Genomic DNA, 18,290 nt, shown 5'->3' with positions numbered 1-18,290 from the left:
ATCCATATGTAATCAGTCTACTTTTCAGCAATTTTCTGTCTTTAGGAATGGACATATAGGTCTTATCTAAGTCTTTGTTGTTTTTGAGATGGAGTTTCGCTCTTGTTGCCCAGGCTGGAGTGCAATGGCGCAATCTCAGCTCACCACAACCTCTGCCTCCTGGGTTCAAGCGATTCTCCTACCTCAGACCCCCAAGTAGCTGGGATTACAGGCATGCGCCACTACGCCCAGCTAATTTTGTATTTTTAGTAGAGATGGGGTTTCTCCATGTTGGTCAGACTAGTCTCAAACTCCTGACCTCAGGTGATCTACCCGCCTCAGCCTCCCAAAGTGCTGAGATTACAGGTGTGAGCCACCGTGCCCGGCCTTATCTAAGTCTTTAGAGTGATTTAGGTTAATTAAAAACATTTAGGATGATTACTTCTGAGACAAAGTAAGCAAAATCTGCCACGTATAAACACTAAATTATCTTATAACCATAAATTCAATGGGTTTATTGTGTGCATACTATATACTAGGAACTGTGCTAAATACTGGGGATATCATGTTTAGCAAATCAGATATGGTTTTTGTTTCCATGTAACTTAGATTATAATAGGAGAGATGGGTATTAATCAAATGATCATACAAATAAATATAGTTTTAACGTGATGAGTGTCAGGCTGGTTCAGGAAGATTTCTTTAAAGAAGAGATGTTCGAATTGATATTTGAAGGAAGGGTGAGTTAATTCGGTGAAGGAGAAAAGAAAACCAGTTCAGGCAGGACAAAGAGAATGATGGTGCTTTTTTTTAATTAAAAAAAAAAAAGAAATACCGGGGCCAGGTGTGGTATCTCATGCCTGTAATCTCAGCACTTTGGGAGGCAAAGGTCAGAGGATTGCTTGAGTCCAGGAGTTTGAGACCAGCCTAGGCAACATAGAAAAACCCTGTCTCTACAAAGAAATTAGCCAGGTATGGTGGCATGTGCTTATAGTCCCAGATGTCAGGGAGGCCGAGATGGGAGGATCCGTAGAGCCCAGGGGTTTGAGCCTAAAGTAAGCTATAATAATATCACTGTGCTCCAGCCTGGGTAAAAGAGCTGGAGCCTGTCTCTTATTTAAAAAAAAAAGAAAGAAAGAAAGAAAAAAAGGAATACTGTGGAGTGCCTAGTTTTGGTTGGAGAGGATTATCAGTTAAATTTCAAACATGTAGAATTGGAAATACCATGGGGATACTTAAGAAATGTGACCTGGGCAGATTTCTAGATTGTTAAAATAAATTTGTGATTCCATATGAATTTTAGGATTATTTCTGCTACTTCTGTGAAAAACGCCATTGGAATTTTGATAGGGATTGCATTAAATTTGTAGATTGCTTTGGGTGGTATGGACATTTTAACAATATTAACTCTTTCAGCCTATGAACATGGGATATCTATTTATTGAGGTGCCTTCTTCAATTTCTTTCATCAGAGTTTTATAGTTTTCAATGTATAGGTCTTTCACCTCCCTGGTTAAATTTATTCCTATTTTATTTTGGGGATGCTATTGTAAATGGGATTGTTTTCTTGATTTCTTTTTTGGATGGTTCATTGCTAGTGTATAGAAAGGCTACTGATTTTTGAACGTGGATTTCATGTCCTGTAACTATACTGAATTTATTTATTAGTTCTAACCGTTTTTATGGAGTCTTTGGGGTTTTCTATATATTAGATTATGTCATCTGTAAGCAGAGACAACTTAACTTTTTCCTTTCCAATTTTAGATGCCTTTTCTTTCTTTTTCTTGCCTAATTGCTCTGGCTAGGACTACACTACTATGCCTAGTACTATACTGAATGGAAGTGGTGAGAGTGGGCACCCTTTTCTTGTTCCTGATTCAATATTTTTTTTTCAAAGTGAAAGTAAGTTTATTAAGAAAATAAAGGAATAAAAGAACGGCTACTCTATAGACAGAGCAGCCCTGATTCAACATGTTGAATGAATTCTTGAACATTACAGCTAAAGTCATCAGGATGACAGGAAGACTTACGTTGCAGAGCCAGGTGGTGAACCAGAGCCAAGGCTTTGGTGATGGAGGAAGAATGACAAGGGAGGTTGATGAGAATGGCAAAGACAGAAGCAGAGAATTAATGAGCCAAACACCACCAGCCTCAGGATTTTTTTTTTTTTTTAAATAAGACTGGAGGAGCACTAGTCTGAGTGAAGTGTTCTTACCTGAGATCCAGGCTTTATTTAGAGCCAATGGTAAAGGGTACTGGGAGAAGAGATTTAGGATTTGTGAGTGTTTACTGGTTCTGAAGTGTCATTCATTGAGAAGAAAGTAGAATAGGTACTATTGTCTCTATTATTTTCTCTTTTAACAGATGAAGAAACAGAGGCTTGGAAAGAAAAAATGATTTCTCAAGTCTACTGAGCTAATAGATAGTGAAGCCAGGACAAGAATCTAGGTCATCTGATTTCTAGCCCAATTCTCTTCCCATTCTTTCATGAAGCATCAAAGCAAAGTTATTAAGCAGCAAAGCCAAGTTTTCTAAGTCTATCTGTCTTCTAGTTTGTTCAAAGACATTTGTTGTTTCATTTGTTCTGATTAAAGTTTGTGATTACAAAGTTTGTTTTGTTAACTATAAGCCCTTTTATTTATTTTTAAAATTTTATTATTTTATTTTATTTTTTTATTTTTATTTATATATATTTTTTTATTATACTTTAAGTTCTAGGGTACATGTGCACAACGTGCAGGTTTGTTACATATATATATATACATGTGCCATGTTGGTGTGCTGCACCCATTAACTCATCATTTACATTAGGTATATCCCCTAATGCTATCCCTCCCCCCTCCCCTGACCCCGAAACAGGCCCCAGTGTGTGATGTTCCCCTTCCTGTGTCCATGTGTTCTCATTGTTCAATTCCCACCTATGAGTGAGAACATGCAGTGTTTGGTTTTTTGTCCTTGCGATAGTTTGCTGAGAATGATGGTTTCCAGCTTCATCCATGTCCCTACAAAGGACATGAACTCATCATTTTTTTATGGCTGCATAGTATTCCATGGTGTATATGTGCCACATTTTCTTAATCCAGTCTATCATTGTTGGACATTTGGCTTGGTTCCAAGTCTTTGCTATTGTGAGTAGTGCCGCAATAAACATACGTGTGCATGTGTCTTTATAGCAGCATGATTTATATTCCTTTGGGTATATACCGAGTAATGGGATGGCTGGGTCAAATGATATTTCTGGTTCTAGATCCCTGAGGAATCGCCACACCGACTTCCACAATGGTTGAACTAGTTTACAGTCCCACCAACAGTGTAAAAGTGTTTGTATTTCTCCACATCCTCTCCAGCACCTGTTGTTTCCTGACTTTTTAATGATTGCCATTCTGACTGGTATGAGATGATATCTCATTGTGGTTTTGATTTGCATTTCTCTGATGGTCAGTGATGATGAGCATTTTTTCATGTGTCTGTTGGCTACATAAATGTCTTCTTTTGAGAAGTGTCTGTTCATATCCTTTGCCCACTTGTTGATGGGGTTGTTTTTTTCTTGTAAATTTGATTGAGTTCATTGTAGATTCTGGATAGTAGCCCTTTGTCAGATGAGTAGATTATGAAAATTTTCTCCCATTCTGCAGGTTGCCTGTTCACTCTGATGGTAGTTTCTTTTGCTGTGCAGAAGCTCTTGAGTTTAATTAGATCCCATTTGTCAATTCTGGCTTTTGTTGCCTTTGCTTTTGGTATTTTAGACATGAAGTCCTTGCCCATGCCTATGTCCTGAATGGTATTGCCTGGGTTTTCTTCTAGGGTTTTTATGGTTTTAGGTCTAATATTTAAGTCTTTAATCCATCTTGAATTAATTTTTGTATAAGGTGTAAGGAAGGGATCCAGTTTCAGCTTTCTACATATGGCTAGCCAGTTTTCCCAGCACCATTTATTAAATAGGGAATCCTTTCCCCATTGCTTGTTTTTGTCAGGTCTGTCAAAGATCAGATAGTTGTAGATGTGTGGTATTATTTCTGAGGGCTCTGTTCTGTTCCATTGGTCTATATCTCTGTTTTGGTACCAGTACCACGCTGTTTTGGTTACTGTAGCCTTGTAGTATAGTTTGAAGTCAGGTAGCGTGATGCCTCCAGCTTTGTTCTTTTGGCTTAGGATTGACCTGGCAATGTGGGCTCTTTTTTGATTCCATATGAACTTTAAAGTAGTTTTTTCTAATTCTGTGAAGAAAGTCATTGGTAGCTTGATGGGGATGGCATTGAATCTATAAATTACCTGGGGCAGTGTGGCCATTTTCACGACATTGATTCTTCCTATCCATGAGCATAGAATATTCTTCCATTTGTTTGTATCCTCTTTTATTTCATTGAGCAGTGGCTTGTAGTTCTCCTTGAAGAGGTCCTTCACGTCCCTTGTAAGTTGGATTCCTAGGTATTTTATTCTCTTTGAAGCAATTGTGAACGGGACTTCACTCATGATTTGGCTCTCTGTTTGTCTGTTATTGGTGTATAAGAATGCTTGTGATTTTTGCACATTGATTTTGTATCCTGAGACTTTACTGAAGTTGCTTATCAGCTTAAGGAGATTTTGGGCTGAGACGATGGGGTTTTCTATATGTACAATCATGTCATCTGCAAACAGGGACAATTTGGCTTCCCCTTTTCCTAATTGAATACCCTTTATTTCTTTCTCCTGCCTGATTGCCCTGGCCAGAACTTCCAACACTATGTTGAATAGGAGTGGTGAGAGAGGGCATCCCTGTCTTGTGCCAGTTTTGAAAGGGAATGCTTCCAGTTTTTGCCCATTCAGTATGATATTGGCTGTGGGTTTGTCATAAATTGCTCTTATTATTTTGAGATACATCTCATCAATACCTAATTTATTGAGAGTTTTTAGCATGAAGGGAAGCCCTTTTTATAAATGTTTTGAGTGGCCCCAAATGATTTTCTGAATTCTGGCATCATTTGTCTCAAACAAGCAAATTAGAAACCCGGAACTATAATACCTATGAGGTATGTCTTGGATAAGGAAGGGAAATGAACAATGAGGCTAATATTTTCCCACTGAAAGGCACTTAAATTCTTGTTTTAGGAGTTCATGTGAGAACATGCGCTTAATGAATACTTTTGATGTAGCACACTCTCCCATCTCCCCAAATGAAGAGTAAACCAAATTGTGGAGAAAACATAGGTAACTTAACTATTTTCTTAAGATAATTTATGCCTTATTTTTTTCTATCTCCAATTACTACATTTGAAATCGGTGCTTTCATTAGTGTCAATTTTATTTTACTAAAATGTATTTGGGAAGGCTATGTACATGCAAAATTTAGCATTAGACTTTTCTTTCTACACCTAAGTATATCTGGAAGGGTCAATAAACTGGAAAATTTTAGAATGGATTTATCCCTGATTCAAATCCTTAAGGTGTGTGTGTGTGTGTGTGTGTGTGTGTATGTGTCCCAAAGTGCATGTTTTAGTACAGTGAAAACCACCATCTGTGAAGATGTTTCCTACCTATTGATAATTAGTCATGAGTTACCTGCATTTTTGTATGCCAAGTAGGTCTAGGCCTGTTTGAAGTGCTGATAGAATCAGTTCTTATTCACAGAGGCAGTTGGTTTGTTGGAACTATTTAAATGATTCAACTGCTTCCACAGTAAATGCATTACTGTGTGATTATGTTTAATATGCTCCTGACATTCATCAAACAAGATAGCATATCACACTTTGAGAAAGAATACTCTGGACAGTCTTTCAAACTTAATTCTCCAACTGGAATGGAAATAAGAAACTACAATTGATACAAAGAAAGTATTGAATTGGAAAGATTTCGGAAAAATCTTCTTTATGGCTTGCTGGGCAAACCGGTAGTCTAACATTCTGGGAAAAGAATTACGTAGCTCATTAGAGGTTCAGTTCTATACTCATTGTTCACTTGTAACTTGGAATATTAGAATCTATGTTGCATCCAGTATTGAACATGAAACAGGTAAAATAAATAGAACAAAGCATTTGATTAAAAAATATCCCCACTGCCTGTTTTTAATTTAAACTGGTGATCTGGAAGCAATAAATATTTTAACTTTTACTTTATAAAAGTAAGTTCATTTCCTCTCTTTTAAAGGGCTGAACCAAGTGGATAACTTATTTTTTTAATGTTTTAAAGATTTTTCAATGTGCTGTTTCCTTTTTTTCCTCCCTTCAAATTTTAAGTTCCAGGGTACATGTGCAGTACGTGCAGTTTTGTTACATAGGTAAACATGTGCTGTGGTGGTTTGCTACACAGAACCTCCCATCACCTGGGTATTAACTTCAGCATCCATTAGCTATTCTTTCTGATGCTCTCCCTCCCCCACCCCCAACAGGCTCCAGTGTGTGTTGTTTCCCCCAATGTGTCCATGTGCTCTCGTCGTTCAGCTCCCACTTACAGTGAGAACATGCGCTGTTTGGTTTTCTGCTAATGCGTCCATTTGCTGAGGATAATGGCTTCCAGCTCCATCCATGTCCCTGGAAAGGACATGATCTTGTTCCTTTTTATGGCTGCATAGTATTTCATGGTGTACACGTACCCAAGTGGATAATTTAAAAACAGTAAGTTTGTAATTGGCAAGATGATAAGATAAAATAAAAAGAACAAAATCAACACTATAAAAGATGTAAGAGGTCCAATATGCAGGAGTTACTGTAGTGTGTGTAGGGTGAGTGTGACACTAAGCATATTTATAGAACTTAGTTTGAATTGATTTTATTGTTTTACAACAAATATCTACCCTTACTGCTGAAAACTATTTAAAATTATATATATGCATATTTATCATATAAGGTACATATTTAATTCCTTTATTAACATTAATGCATACCATTATACAAAACAAATACCCATGGTGCTTTTTATATAACCTGATTAAAAGTTGGTGTGTGTGTGTGTGTGTGTGTGTGTGTGTGTGTGTGTCTGTGTGTGTGTGGTGTGGTTTTAAAAATTCATTGATTTATTTGTATGCTGTATCTAGAGGTATAAAAAATGTTGGGTAACCTCAGTTATTTTTAATTTTAGTAACTTTTAAAATGTATTTTTTGTTCTTTTTTTCTTAGTAACATTATTGGCATTTACAGGATTTTTAGTTTTTCCCTTTTTTCTCCTTAGTATTTTTTTAATTTATAAACATTCATATGCTATACTATTCTAATGTTGGCTATAATTTAACTTGTCATTCACTTCTTTGACTCTAGTTTCCTAATTGAATTTAGCAGAGGCTATAAAAGATGAGATTTACTCTGCTTAGCACTCTTCAGAAAAGTAGATATTGTAACTTCCTTTAATAATTTATATCTTTGTTTAACAATTCTTACTCTCAGTAAATTCTTTGTATTTCTTAACTAAATCTCAAATGGCAATCAACCCTGTTCATATATTAATTGTCTTCTCTAATTGTTTTGGTTTGTTTTCTTTTGTGGGTTCTGACCAAGGTAATCCTATAATGAAATGTGGAAATAAATAGTCCAAATGCACACAGAAGAATCACCCTCCAGTTCTTCAGTGTTCTTTTTCTCCTTGGCATATTACAAACATGGAGTTTAAGAGGGTGAGATCTGAGGTCAAGGAGACTATATTTCCATTCCTAGCTTAGTCTCTTACCAGGTGGTGATGTGATTTTGTTTAGTCTCAGTTTTCCCCTCTCAGAAATGGTGGGAATAATGATGACACTCTAATTTGGATGCGGTAAGGATTATATGACATAATGTTTAACATACTACTTGGCACTATATAAGTGCTCAGAATAAATTATACACCAATTTTAGTCCAGATATTGAAACACCTACAATACATAATATTAAACATTTATTTTAGTTTGATGAAATATCTGAGCAGAAAAATAAGAAGTTCTTATTTAACATGTCTATGTGTGAATAAATTGAATGTGGGGAATTTGAACGTGTTAGCTCATTTTCAAATAAAGCCTTTGTAAATAACTAGGACTTACACAGTAAAACAATACCCCAAGTGAAAAATTACACTCCATATATAAACTATATATTGCACAAGTTACCCAGAAGTGATGTATAAAGATATTTAATATCCTGGAGCTTATTCAACTACAACTGTGATGCTATACACAAGTTGAGTTCTTAGTCCTGGGTAATAGTACTTTCATTTATATAGCATTTTACAAGGCCCTTTTACATACCTTAGCACATTTTATCTTCACAAAAATCTTGCAAGACAGGCAGAACATGTGTTATTACCCTTACTTTGCAAGAGGAGAAAACTGAATTTGGAGAAGGAAAGTAACTTGCTTAAAAGCCACAGAGTTTCTGACAGGGTAAGAATTCCTTTTCTGCCACTAGTTCTGGGATTTCCCCCCTCATGGTGCCTCTCTGCCAGCCTCAGTACTGACAAGGTTCAGAGGTGAGTGTAAGAGATCAGAGAAGGGAAGGTGTTTGTACTTATTTTTGCCATCTACCAGGCCCTGTATTTGTAAAAGGTCGTTGGCCAAACAACTCTGGCACTAGTTTCCTGTTCCTCGGGACTCTACCTGTATACTTAAATGTCTCAAGATGGCACCATGAGACTGACACATGAGTGCTCAGAGGTGAGAAAGAGGGGGCTAGATAGAGTTTCCAACATGAGGAAGGAAGAGGACAAGGTTTGGAGAAGGGGAGATGACAGTAGGGAGAACATGTTTATAGTGCTCTTTCTAGCCATGAAAGAACCTCCATGCCTCCCAATTCTGAGGCATCTGCTATTTGCTAAGGCGGATAGCCAGTAACAATGATCTACTACTTCTTGGAGAGCTGATTTTTTCTAGGATCAGTGGGAGTGAACAATTTTTTTTTTTTTTTTTTTTTTTAAAGAAGAGAGATTTACTTCTTACAGTTCTGAAGGCCGGGAAGTCTTCCAGCCTCAGATGGAAGACGGAGGGGCCACAACTGGCCAGGGCCTTAATATTTCATCCTCCCATGGCAGAAGGAAGGGAGAAGAGGAGGGAAGAGAGAGAGAGAGAGAAAGAAAGAAAGAGAGAGAGAGAGAGGGACGGGTGGGGATGGGGATAAAGGTTTGGAGAAGAAGAGGGCTGAACTCATCCTTTTATCGGGAACCCACTTCTTAGATAACTAACCCACTCCCACAATAATGGCATTAATCCATTCATGAGGGCTCTGCCTAGTACCTCTTAAAGGTCCCACCTCTCAGTGCTGTTGCTCTGGGGATTAAGTTTCCAACGCATGAGCTGTGGGGGACACATTCATACCACAGCAAGCTCTATTCACAACATCTATTTCTTGTGGAGTCGGATTTGGTATTCTGTGTCTTCCTAGGAATTTGTCCATTTCATTTATCTAACTTGTTTGCATTCAATTATTCATATTATTTCTTTCTAATAATTTTTATTTCTATAAGATTGGTAATAAAATCTTGACTTTTGTTTCTGATTCTAGTAATTTGAGTCTTTTGGGGGTGGTGGGCAATCTAGCTAAATGTTTGCCATTTTGTTGATCTTTTCAAAGAACCAGGTTTGATTTCATAATTTTTTTCTTTATTGCTTTTCTATTCTCTATTTCATTTATTTCTGCTCTAGGCTTTCCTTCTTTCTGCTTTCTTTGGACTGTTATTATCAATTATTGAGTGTGTTGTATGAATATACCACATTATGACTATGTATTGGTGAAGTTTTCTTAAGAACTTCAATTTTTGTTAAAATTTGCCTCATATATTTTGGGTATATGTTGTTAAGTATATACAGGTTTGGAGTTATCATATATTTCAGGTTAATTGTTCCTTTTCTTGTTGCCTAATAAACTTTATTTCTAAAAAACTGTTTTGGCCAGGCAAGGTGGCTCACACCTGCAATCTCAGCCCTTTGGGAGGCTGAGGTGGGAGGATCACTTGAGCTCAGGAGTTTGAGGCCAGCCTGAGCAACATGGCAAAACCCCGTCTCTACTAAAAATACAAAAACTAGCCGGGCATGGTGGCTCACACCTGTAGTCCCAGCCACCTGGGAGGCTAAGGCAGGAGAATTGTTTGAACCCTGGAGGCGAAGGTTGCAGTGAGCCAAGATTGCACTACTGCACTCCAGCCTGGGCGACAGAGCAAGGCTCTATCTCAATAAAAAAGTTTTGCCTTAAAGTTTAATTTGACAAATATTAATAAAACTATGCCAGCTTCCTTCCTGTATAAAACTTATTGATCTGAGACCTTTTTAAAAAACATATATAAGTATTTGAAGCTACAAATTTCCTTCTAAGCATTGATTTAGCTTCATCCCATGTTTTGGTTTGTTGTGCTTCTGTTTTTATTTTTTTTCAGTTAGAAGTGTTTTCCAATTTTACTTATGATTTCTTCTATTTATTTATTTATTTATTTATTTATTTATTTATTTATTGAGATGGTATCACTGTGTTGCTTAAACTGGAGTGCAGTGGCACAGTTACTGCTCACTGCAGCCTCGACCTCTGTGGCTCAGGGGATAGATTCTCTCACCTCAGCTTCTTGAGTAGCTGGGAGCGTGGGCTCTGGCTGCCATGCCCAGCTAATTTTCCATTTTCTGCAGAGTCAGGGTTTTGCCATGTTGCTCAGACTGTGATTTCCCCTTTAACCATTGGTTATTTAGGAATGTGTTGTTTAATATCCACATATGTGTGAATTTCCCAAATTTTCTTCCACTATTGATTTCTAATTTCATTCCATCGTGTTTGGAGAACACACTGCATAATTTCAATCCTTGTGATTCTCCTGCCTCAGCCTCCTGAGTAGCTGGGACCACAGGCATGTGCCACCACTCCCAGCTAATTTATTTGGTATTTTTAGTAGAGACGGGGTTTCACCATTCTGGCCAGGATGGTCTTGGTCTCCTGACCCCATGATCCACCTGCCTTGGACTCCCAAAGTGCCAGGACCACAGGTGTGAGCCACTGCACCCAGCATATTCAAAACATTTTCTATGTCTTTTTTTAAGTTTTGAAGTTTTCTCCACAGAGGTATTAATTTTCTTTGTGAATTCCTAGCTACTTTTCTATTTTTTTATTGAGAGGTACTTACCTTATGTTTATTACTGGTGTTCAGAAATAATATTAATTTTGTAGATTGATCATGTGGCTGGAAAATGTGCTAAAATGTCATTCTAAAAGTTTGGCTATTTATTTTGTTAATTTTGTGAGTTTCTCATCTCACCTTCAAAAATCTGTTTTTATTTCTTCCTGTGCTAGTTTTTACACCTCTTATTATGTCTGGACCATTGTACTATATATATATTTTTTTCATTGTACTATATTCAAACTAGTGGTGATAGTAATTTCCCCTCAAATTTGGACTGAAAGTCCCCTTTAAAAAAATCCCAAATTCAGCTGGGGCAACATGGCGAAACCCCTTCTCCACTAAAAATACAAAAATTAGCCAGGCATGGTGGCGCTCATCTGTAGTCCCAGCCACTTAGAAGGCTGAGGTGGGAGGATTGTTAGAGACCAGGAGGCAGAGGCTGCAGTGAGCCAAGATGGTGCCACTGCACACTCCAGCCTGGAGGCAGAGTGCTGTCTCAAAAAAAAAAAAAAAAAAAAAAAAAAAAAACCCTAAAAATTGGAAACAAAATGTAAGTTTATAACTTTCTCTCATTAAAAGTGGATGATAGTGTATACTCACTTCGGCAACACATATACTAAAATCGGAATGATACAGACAGAAAAGTGGATGATGGCTTCTCTGGTTTCCTTGAAAAAAAAATTCTTTTAAACTGGATAACCCAGCTGGGTGCGATGGTTCACTCCTGTATTCCTAGCACTTTGGGAGGCTGAGGCAGGTGGATGATGTTAAGTCCAGGAGTTCGAGACCAGCCAGGGCAACATGGCAAAATTTTGCCTTTACAAAAAATACAAAAATTGGCCGGGCTGGGTGGCTCATGCCTGCAATCCCACACCCTGGGAGGTCAAGGCAGGTGGATCACTGGAGGTCAGGAGTTCGAGACCAGCCTGGGCAACACGGTGAAACCCTGTCTCCACCAAAAACACAAAAATTAGCCGGGCATGGTGTCATGCACCTGTAATCCCAGCCGCTCAGGGGGCTGAGGCAGGAGAATCGCCTGAACCTTGGGAGGTGGAGGTTGCAGTGAGCCGAGATCCCGCCACTGCACTCCAGCCTGGGTGACAGTGTGAAACTCTGTCTCAAAAAACAAACAAACAAAAAAACAAAAAATTAGTCGAGTGTGGTGGCGGGCACCTGTAGTCCCAGCTACTCAGGAGGCTGAGGTGGGAGAATCACCTGAGCCCAGGAGGTCAAGGCTCTGGTGAGCCATGATTGTTCCACTGCATTCCAGCCTGGGTGACAGAGAGAGACCTAGTTTTTTAAAAATAAAGTGGATAACTCCCAAAACCACTGTTCTACTTTTAGAAAATCAGGATAATTTTGGGAAGGGAATTTGGGAGTCTCATTGGCCATGTAAGGGACTAGGAAGGCTTCTCAGGAAGAATTGTGGGGCTGATTGCATAGTGCCCAGCTCTACTTGGAAAAATCTTTTTGCAACATTTCCATGGAAATCAGAGACACAGCCCCAGATGTTTGCGTTAAAATGAGACAAAGGAGAAAAAAGTCATGTACAAGAGGCAAGAAGACCTCTTTTCTAAATGGTCCATATTTATTAGTACTCTGGTCAGAGAAATCCAAAGTCTACCATATTGGAGGTCTTCTGGAATTCCAGGCTGTCTGTTAGACTGTAGGCTTCAAAGCTTTGGCTTGTCATACTGGGTCAGGTTTGTGTGGGAGATAGGCCTACAGCTGGACCAGCAAAGGTGCTCAGAGAGGAACCCTGTCCTCCTACCTGGTACCTTGTGGGTGAGAGATACTGATACAGACAGTGGAAAGAAGAGCTGGATATCTCATTCTCATCAGGAAGATTGTACAGTTCTATGATTTGGGATATGTCACAGGCATCAGAGTACAAAGCAGGAACTGAGGCCACCAGCCTCTCCCATTGAGTATCTTGCATTTGGAAGTCACCTGTGGGACTCTCAGTGAAGGTGGAGTTCCAGGCCCAATTGGAAGGGTCTAAGGGCTGAGGAGAAAGGGAGCTGTAGAAATCTGAAACCACAGGAGAAAAAGCATAAGGACTTGGGGATGTTCTAGGGGAGGTGGGCACATTCTTCTTGGATGAAAGGATCTGGTTTGCTTGCTTTGCTGATTGCTGCTGCTGCTGCTGCTGCTGCTGCTGCTTCAATCTGAATTGCCAGTTCCTGAACCAAGCCTTTACCTGTTGACTCCAGTAGGTTGCGTTTCAAAGCTAGTTTCTCCTGAAGATTTCTATCTGGGAACATAGTCTGGCTAAACAGAGCTTCTAGCTCTTCATACTGTTGGTGGGTGAATGAAGTACGTTCTTGATGCCTTCTCCATATTGCTGTAGTCCCAGCTACTCGGGAGGCTGAGGTGGGAAGATCACTTGAACCTGGGAGGTTGAGGCTGCAGTGAGTGGAGACCATGCCACTGCACTCCAGCTTGGATGACAGACTGAAACTGGGACTAGCTGAATCCTGTGGTGGTATCACCTTCATGTTGGAATCATTCCTGTTGATGAAAGGGTCTGGCTGGAAATTCTCTGGGGCCATTCTGTTCATCATGGTTTTTGAAATCTGTCATGAATCCCCTTAGACTAACCATTTTCAGTCCTGCATGGTGTGTCTCTCTCTGGAAATGCAGTTTCCTTAGTGTGTCCAAAAATTTTTAAATAACATCCGTATCCAACTCAACAATAAAAGAACAAATAACCCAATTAAACAATGGGCAAATGTGTGGATAGACATTTCTTCTAAGAAGGTAGATAAATGGCCAATAAGCACATGAAAAAGATGCTCAATAAATATCATTAGTCACTAGGGAAATGCAAATCAAACCCACAACCAGATACCACTTCACACTCACCAGGATAGCTAAAATAAAAAAGACAGACAATAACAAGTGTTGGTGAGGGTGTGGAAAAATTGGGATACTCGTGCTTTGCTTGTGGGAATGTAAAATGATGCAACGGCTTTGGGAAACAGTTTGGCACTTCCCCCTAAAGTTAAACAGAGTTACCATTCGATCCTGCAATTCCACTTCTGGATATATACCCAAGAGAATTGGAAACATATGTTCACACAAAAACTTGTATACTAATAATGTATACATTATATCTATACAATGGAATATCATTCAGCCATAAAAAGGAAAGAAGTATGAATACATGATACAACAGGAATGAACCTTGAAAACACTATGCTCAGTAGACACAAAAGGCCATATATTACATGATTCCACTTATATGACATGTCTGAAATAGACAAATCCATAGAGACAGAAAGTAGGTTAGTGGTTGCCAGGGGCTGGAGGGAAAGGGGAAGGGAAGTGTCTAATGGATATGAGGCTTATTTTTGAGCTGATAAAAATGTTCTGGAATTAGATAGTGATGGTTGTACAACTTTGTGAATGTACTGAATGCACCAAACTGCACATTTTAAAAGAGTGAATTTTATGGTATCTGGATCAGTGTATACCTCAGTAAAAAATCCTTATCCAAGATGATGATAACACCTAACATTTATTAAAGGATAGTGTAAGAAATTGTGCTATAAGTTTGATGAATTATTTTATTTAATTCTCTTAACAGTCACAGGGGTATGTGACTCTTATTATTTCTACCTTACAGAGGAGGAAACTGAGGCTTACACAGAGTTACTAATTTGTCCAAGTCACATGGGGTTTAATGCCAGACTTCAGTTTTGGTTTGATACCAGACTCTGGTTTTTACCACTATGTGCTAGAGCCTCTGTAATAAGCATGACTAGACTTTGAATAATTTCCTGTTCTCTCTGTATTTAGGTCACTGGGTTCACCTTTGGTGTTTTTGGACCTTTTGATATTTTATTCCTTCAGGATTCTATAATTGGATGCTCTAGTGACCAGGAATAGGAATAGATCTGTCTGGCGGTCCACCCCTCATCTCTCACTTCAATAAAGGACTTTGTTGAAGGCCACCTCCATCCCCTGTTTGCTCAAACATAATTCACTTGGAGCAGCTCTTTGGATACTTCAATCTAAATGAAAACCCTCCTTTTAGAGGTTCTCGCTGAACTGTATCCTTCTTTTTTATAGCACCTATTACAGTCAAGTAAAAATTTGATTAATAGTGGTCTTCCTCAATAGCCTACAAACTTCATGAATCAGGGACCAATATAGTTTGAATATTTGTTGCCTCCAAATCTCATGTTGAAATTTTGAGCCCCAATGTTGAAGGTGAGCCCTAGTGGGAGGTGTTTGGGTCATGGAGGCTGATCTTTCATGAAAAGCCTTGTGCTGTCCTCATGGTAATGAGTGTGTTCTCAGTCTGTTAGTTACCAGGAGATTTGACTGTTAAAAAAGAGCCTGACACCTTCTCTCCTCCCTCTTTCTCCCTCTCTCATCATACGACACATGGGCTCCCCTTTGTCTTCCACCATGAGTAGAAGCAGTCTGAGGTCCTTACAGGAAGCAGATGCTGGCATCATGCTTCTTCAATAAATTAGCCTCAGGTGTTCCTTTATCACAATGCAAATAAACTGAGGCAGGAACATGTCTGCTTTGCTCACTATTGTACACTCAGAAAGTAGCCCTGAGCACACAGTAAGTACTCAATAAGTATCAACTGAATGACTAAACACCAGCACAGTGTGAAGATACCTGCAATTTTCACACTTCTCTACTGTCCTCTACTATACAGGGTTCCTTTTTAGAAATGTCTATGTTATTCCTCTGGCTTCTGGATCCAGTGCTTAAGCTCAGCATGGGAGTGCTTCAAGGCCACTGCTGGCTTGCACTGTCGGAAAGTGACGCACTAGTGGAAGGCTTTGGCTTCGGTTCTAACCTCAGAGACTTCTCTAAATGTTTCCCATGTGTTGTGCTCCTCCACTCTGACTGGGATTTTGGCTATCACCTAATTCCTTGCCTCCACTAGCCCTTATGACTGTTCATAATAACATTTCCCATGAGCTCCCCCATGATGCTAAAAAATTTTACACCTGGCAAATCTATCACCACCACCTAAGTGGTTAAGCATGTACACGGCAATATTCCCAGAATAGAAGCAAAATGAACAATCCCGAACTGTTAATTTCCCTAGGTTATACAGCAAATAAGTGATAGAAGCAGAACGAGAAACTTACTAGATGCTGAACTTTTTAAGGGATCTGTTTTGTATATTTGTTTTCCTTACTATGCCCGGCACAGTCCCTGGCACTATTAGGAACTCATTCAATATTTCTTAAATAGAACCCAAAATTCTTTCTGGAGGGGACTCACACTCTGTTCTGCTTCAACAGATTCTCAACCCCCTCAGTATATCTCCCCTCAACTACTCTTTCTAAGTTTTTATAAGTTTTTAGATGTTATTGGAGCACCCAAATTCCAAAGATACCTAACCAAACCCACCAAAAGAGCCCCACTTTCTCATTTTTTATGTCACTATTGTTGGTACCACCATTGTTTTATCCACCCAAGTTTGAAATCCAGTTTTTAAAATTCCTCAATCTCTCTTATTCCACAACGAGTGGTCAAGTCCTATACATTCTCCTTGTATAAAACCTTTGTGGTTTTTTTTCATTTTCCACTGCCACTAGCCCAATTTAGACTCTCATTATCTTTCAACTAGAGTTACTGTGATAACAGCTTCTGACTTGCCCCACCTCTGAGCTCTCTCAACTGTGCTAGAGAATGGATATTGTTTCTGAAATAATTCTTCTCACTCCGATAGGCTTTTCTCAAAAACTTTCAACAACTCCCTATACTATTTTGTCCAAATTCAAATCCTATGGAATCCAAAGTCCTTCAAAAGTGATTACAACTTACTTTTCTGTCTTGATCTCTGCCTTCTAGGAGCACAATTCTCTGGGCAAACCAAAAGGTCCTCCTCAGCATTCCCTGGGCATTCCCTAATTCCCTGCTTCATGCTACCTATGACTTATTCCTTATGCTAAAATGTCTATATCATGGCCTGAACATCTCAAATGAAAGCTCTTCCCAGAATTTTTTCTTGATTCCTGACCCCAAATGAGATCTTGTAATCTTTTGACTTTGGAATGAGGAGTCAAATTTTTGTCACTCTTCTGTGGCATATCTACTGTGTGTTATAATTTGTGGTGTGGATGGCATCTCCCCTAGGAGACAATCAAGTCAGATCCATGACTTATACAATTTTGTAAGTACCGTGTACCACCAAGCTAGTGCCTTTTAAATAGTAGGCAATTGTGGAATTTAAATAACTTGCTTTTCTTCATCATCCATTTCTTCTATTTACATACTAAAAATCATTTCTTTATATTCAGCATCTTACAAAGCTGATAAAGTCATGTATCTAAAGCTCATTGCTCAGTTCCTTCATATACTCCACGGATATAAAACTGCTTAATAAACAGACAACATACAGAATGGGAGAAAACTTTTGAATCTGTGCATCTGACAAACGTCTAATATCCAACATCTATAAAGAACTTAAACAAATTTACAAGAAAAAAACAAAAAACTCCATTAAAAAGTAGGCAAAGGACATGAACAGACACTTTTCTAAAGAAGACATACATGTGGCCAGCAAGTATATGAAAAAAAGCCCCACATCACTGATCTTTAGAGAAATGCAAATCAAAACCACAATGAAATACCATCTAACATCAGTCAGAATGACTATTATTAAAAAGTAAAAAAATAGCCAGGCACGGTGGCTCATGCCTGTAATCCCAGCACTTTGGGAGGCCGAGGCGGGTGGATCACGAGGTCAGCAGATGGCGACCATCCTGGCTAACATGGTGAAACCCCGTCTCTACTAAAAATACAAAAAACTAGCCGGGCGAGGTGGCAGGCGCCTGTAGTCTCAGCTACTCGGGAAGCTGAGGCAGGAGAATGGCGTGAACCCAGGAGGCGGAGCTGGCAGTGAGCCGAGATCGCGCCACTGCACTCTAGCCTGGGCGACAGAGCGAGATTTTGTCTCAAAACAAACAAAAAAACAAACAAACAAAAAAACAAAAAAATAACGGATGCTGGTGAGGTTGTGGAGTAAAAAGAAACACTTGCACACTGTTGGTGGGAGTTTAAATTCATTCAGCCATTGTGGAAGACAGTGTGGCAATTTCTCAGAGACCTAAACACAGAAATACCATATGGCCCAGCAATCCCATTACTGGGTATAAACCTGAAGCAATAGAAATCATTCTATTATAAAGACACATGCATGCCTACGTTCGTTGCAGCACTATTCACAATAGAAAAGACATGGAATCAACCTAAATTCCCATCAATGATAGACTGGATAAAGAAAATGTGGTACATATACA

At 38.9% G+C, this 18,290-nt stretch overlaps 1 long non-coding RNA gene and 1 pseudogene across 1 annotated transcript in view; one reads left to right on the top strand and one right to left on the bottom strand.

Annotated features, from left to right (window-relative positions):
- LINC02201 (long intergenic non-protein coding RNA 2201) overlaps positions 1-18,290 on the top strand; it is a 101,609-nt gene that overhangs the window by 41,192 nt on the left and 42,127 nt on the right. The window lies entirely within an intron of this gene.
- Positions 8,831-13,651, bottom strand: ARGFXP1 (arginine-fifty homeobox pseudogene 1; annotated as a pseudogene).

The sequence above is a fragment of the Homo sapiens genome, chromosome 5 (genome assembly GCF_000001405.40).
Source record: "Homo sapiens chromosome 5, GRCh38.p14 Primary Assembly".
Lineage (NCBI taxonomy): Eukaryota > Metazoa > Chordata > Mammalia > Primates > Hominidae > Homo > Homo sapiens.
Note: the sequence above shows the minus strand (reverse complement) of the source record. Positions and strands in the feature narration are given on the sequence as shown.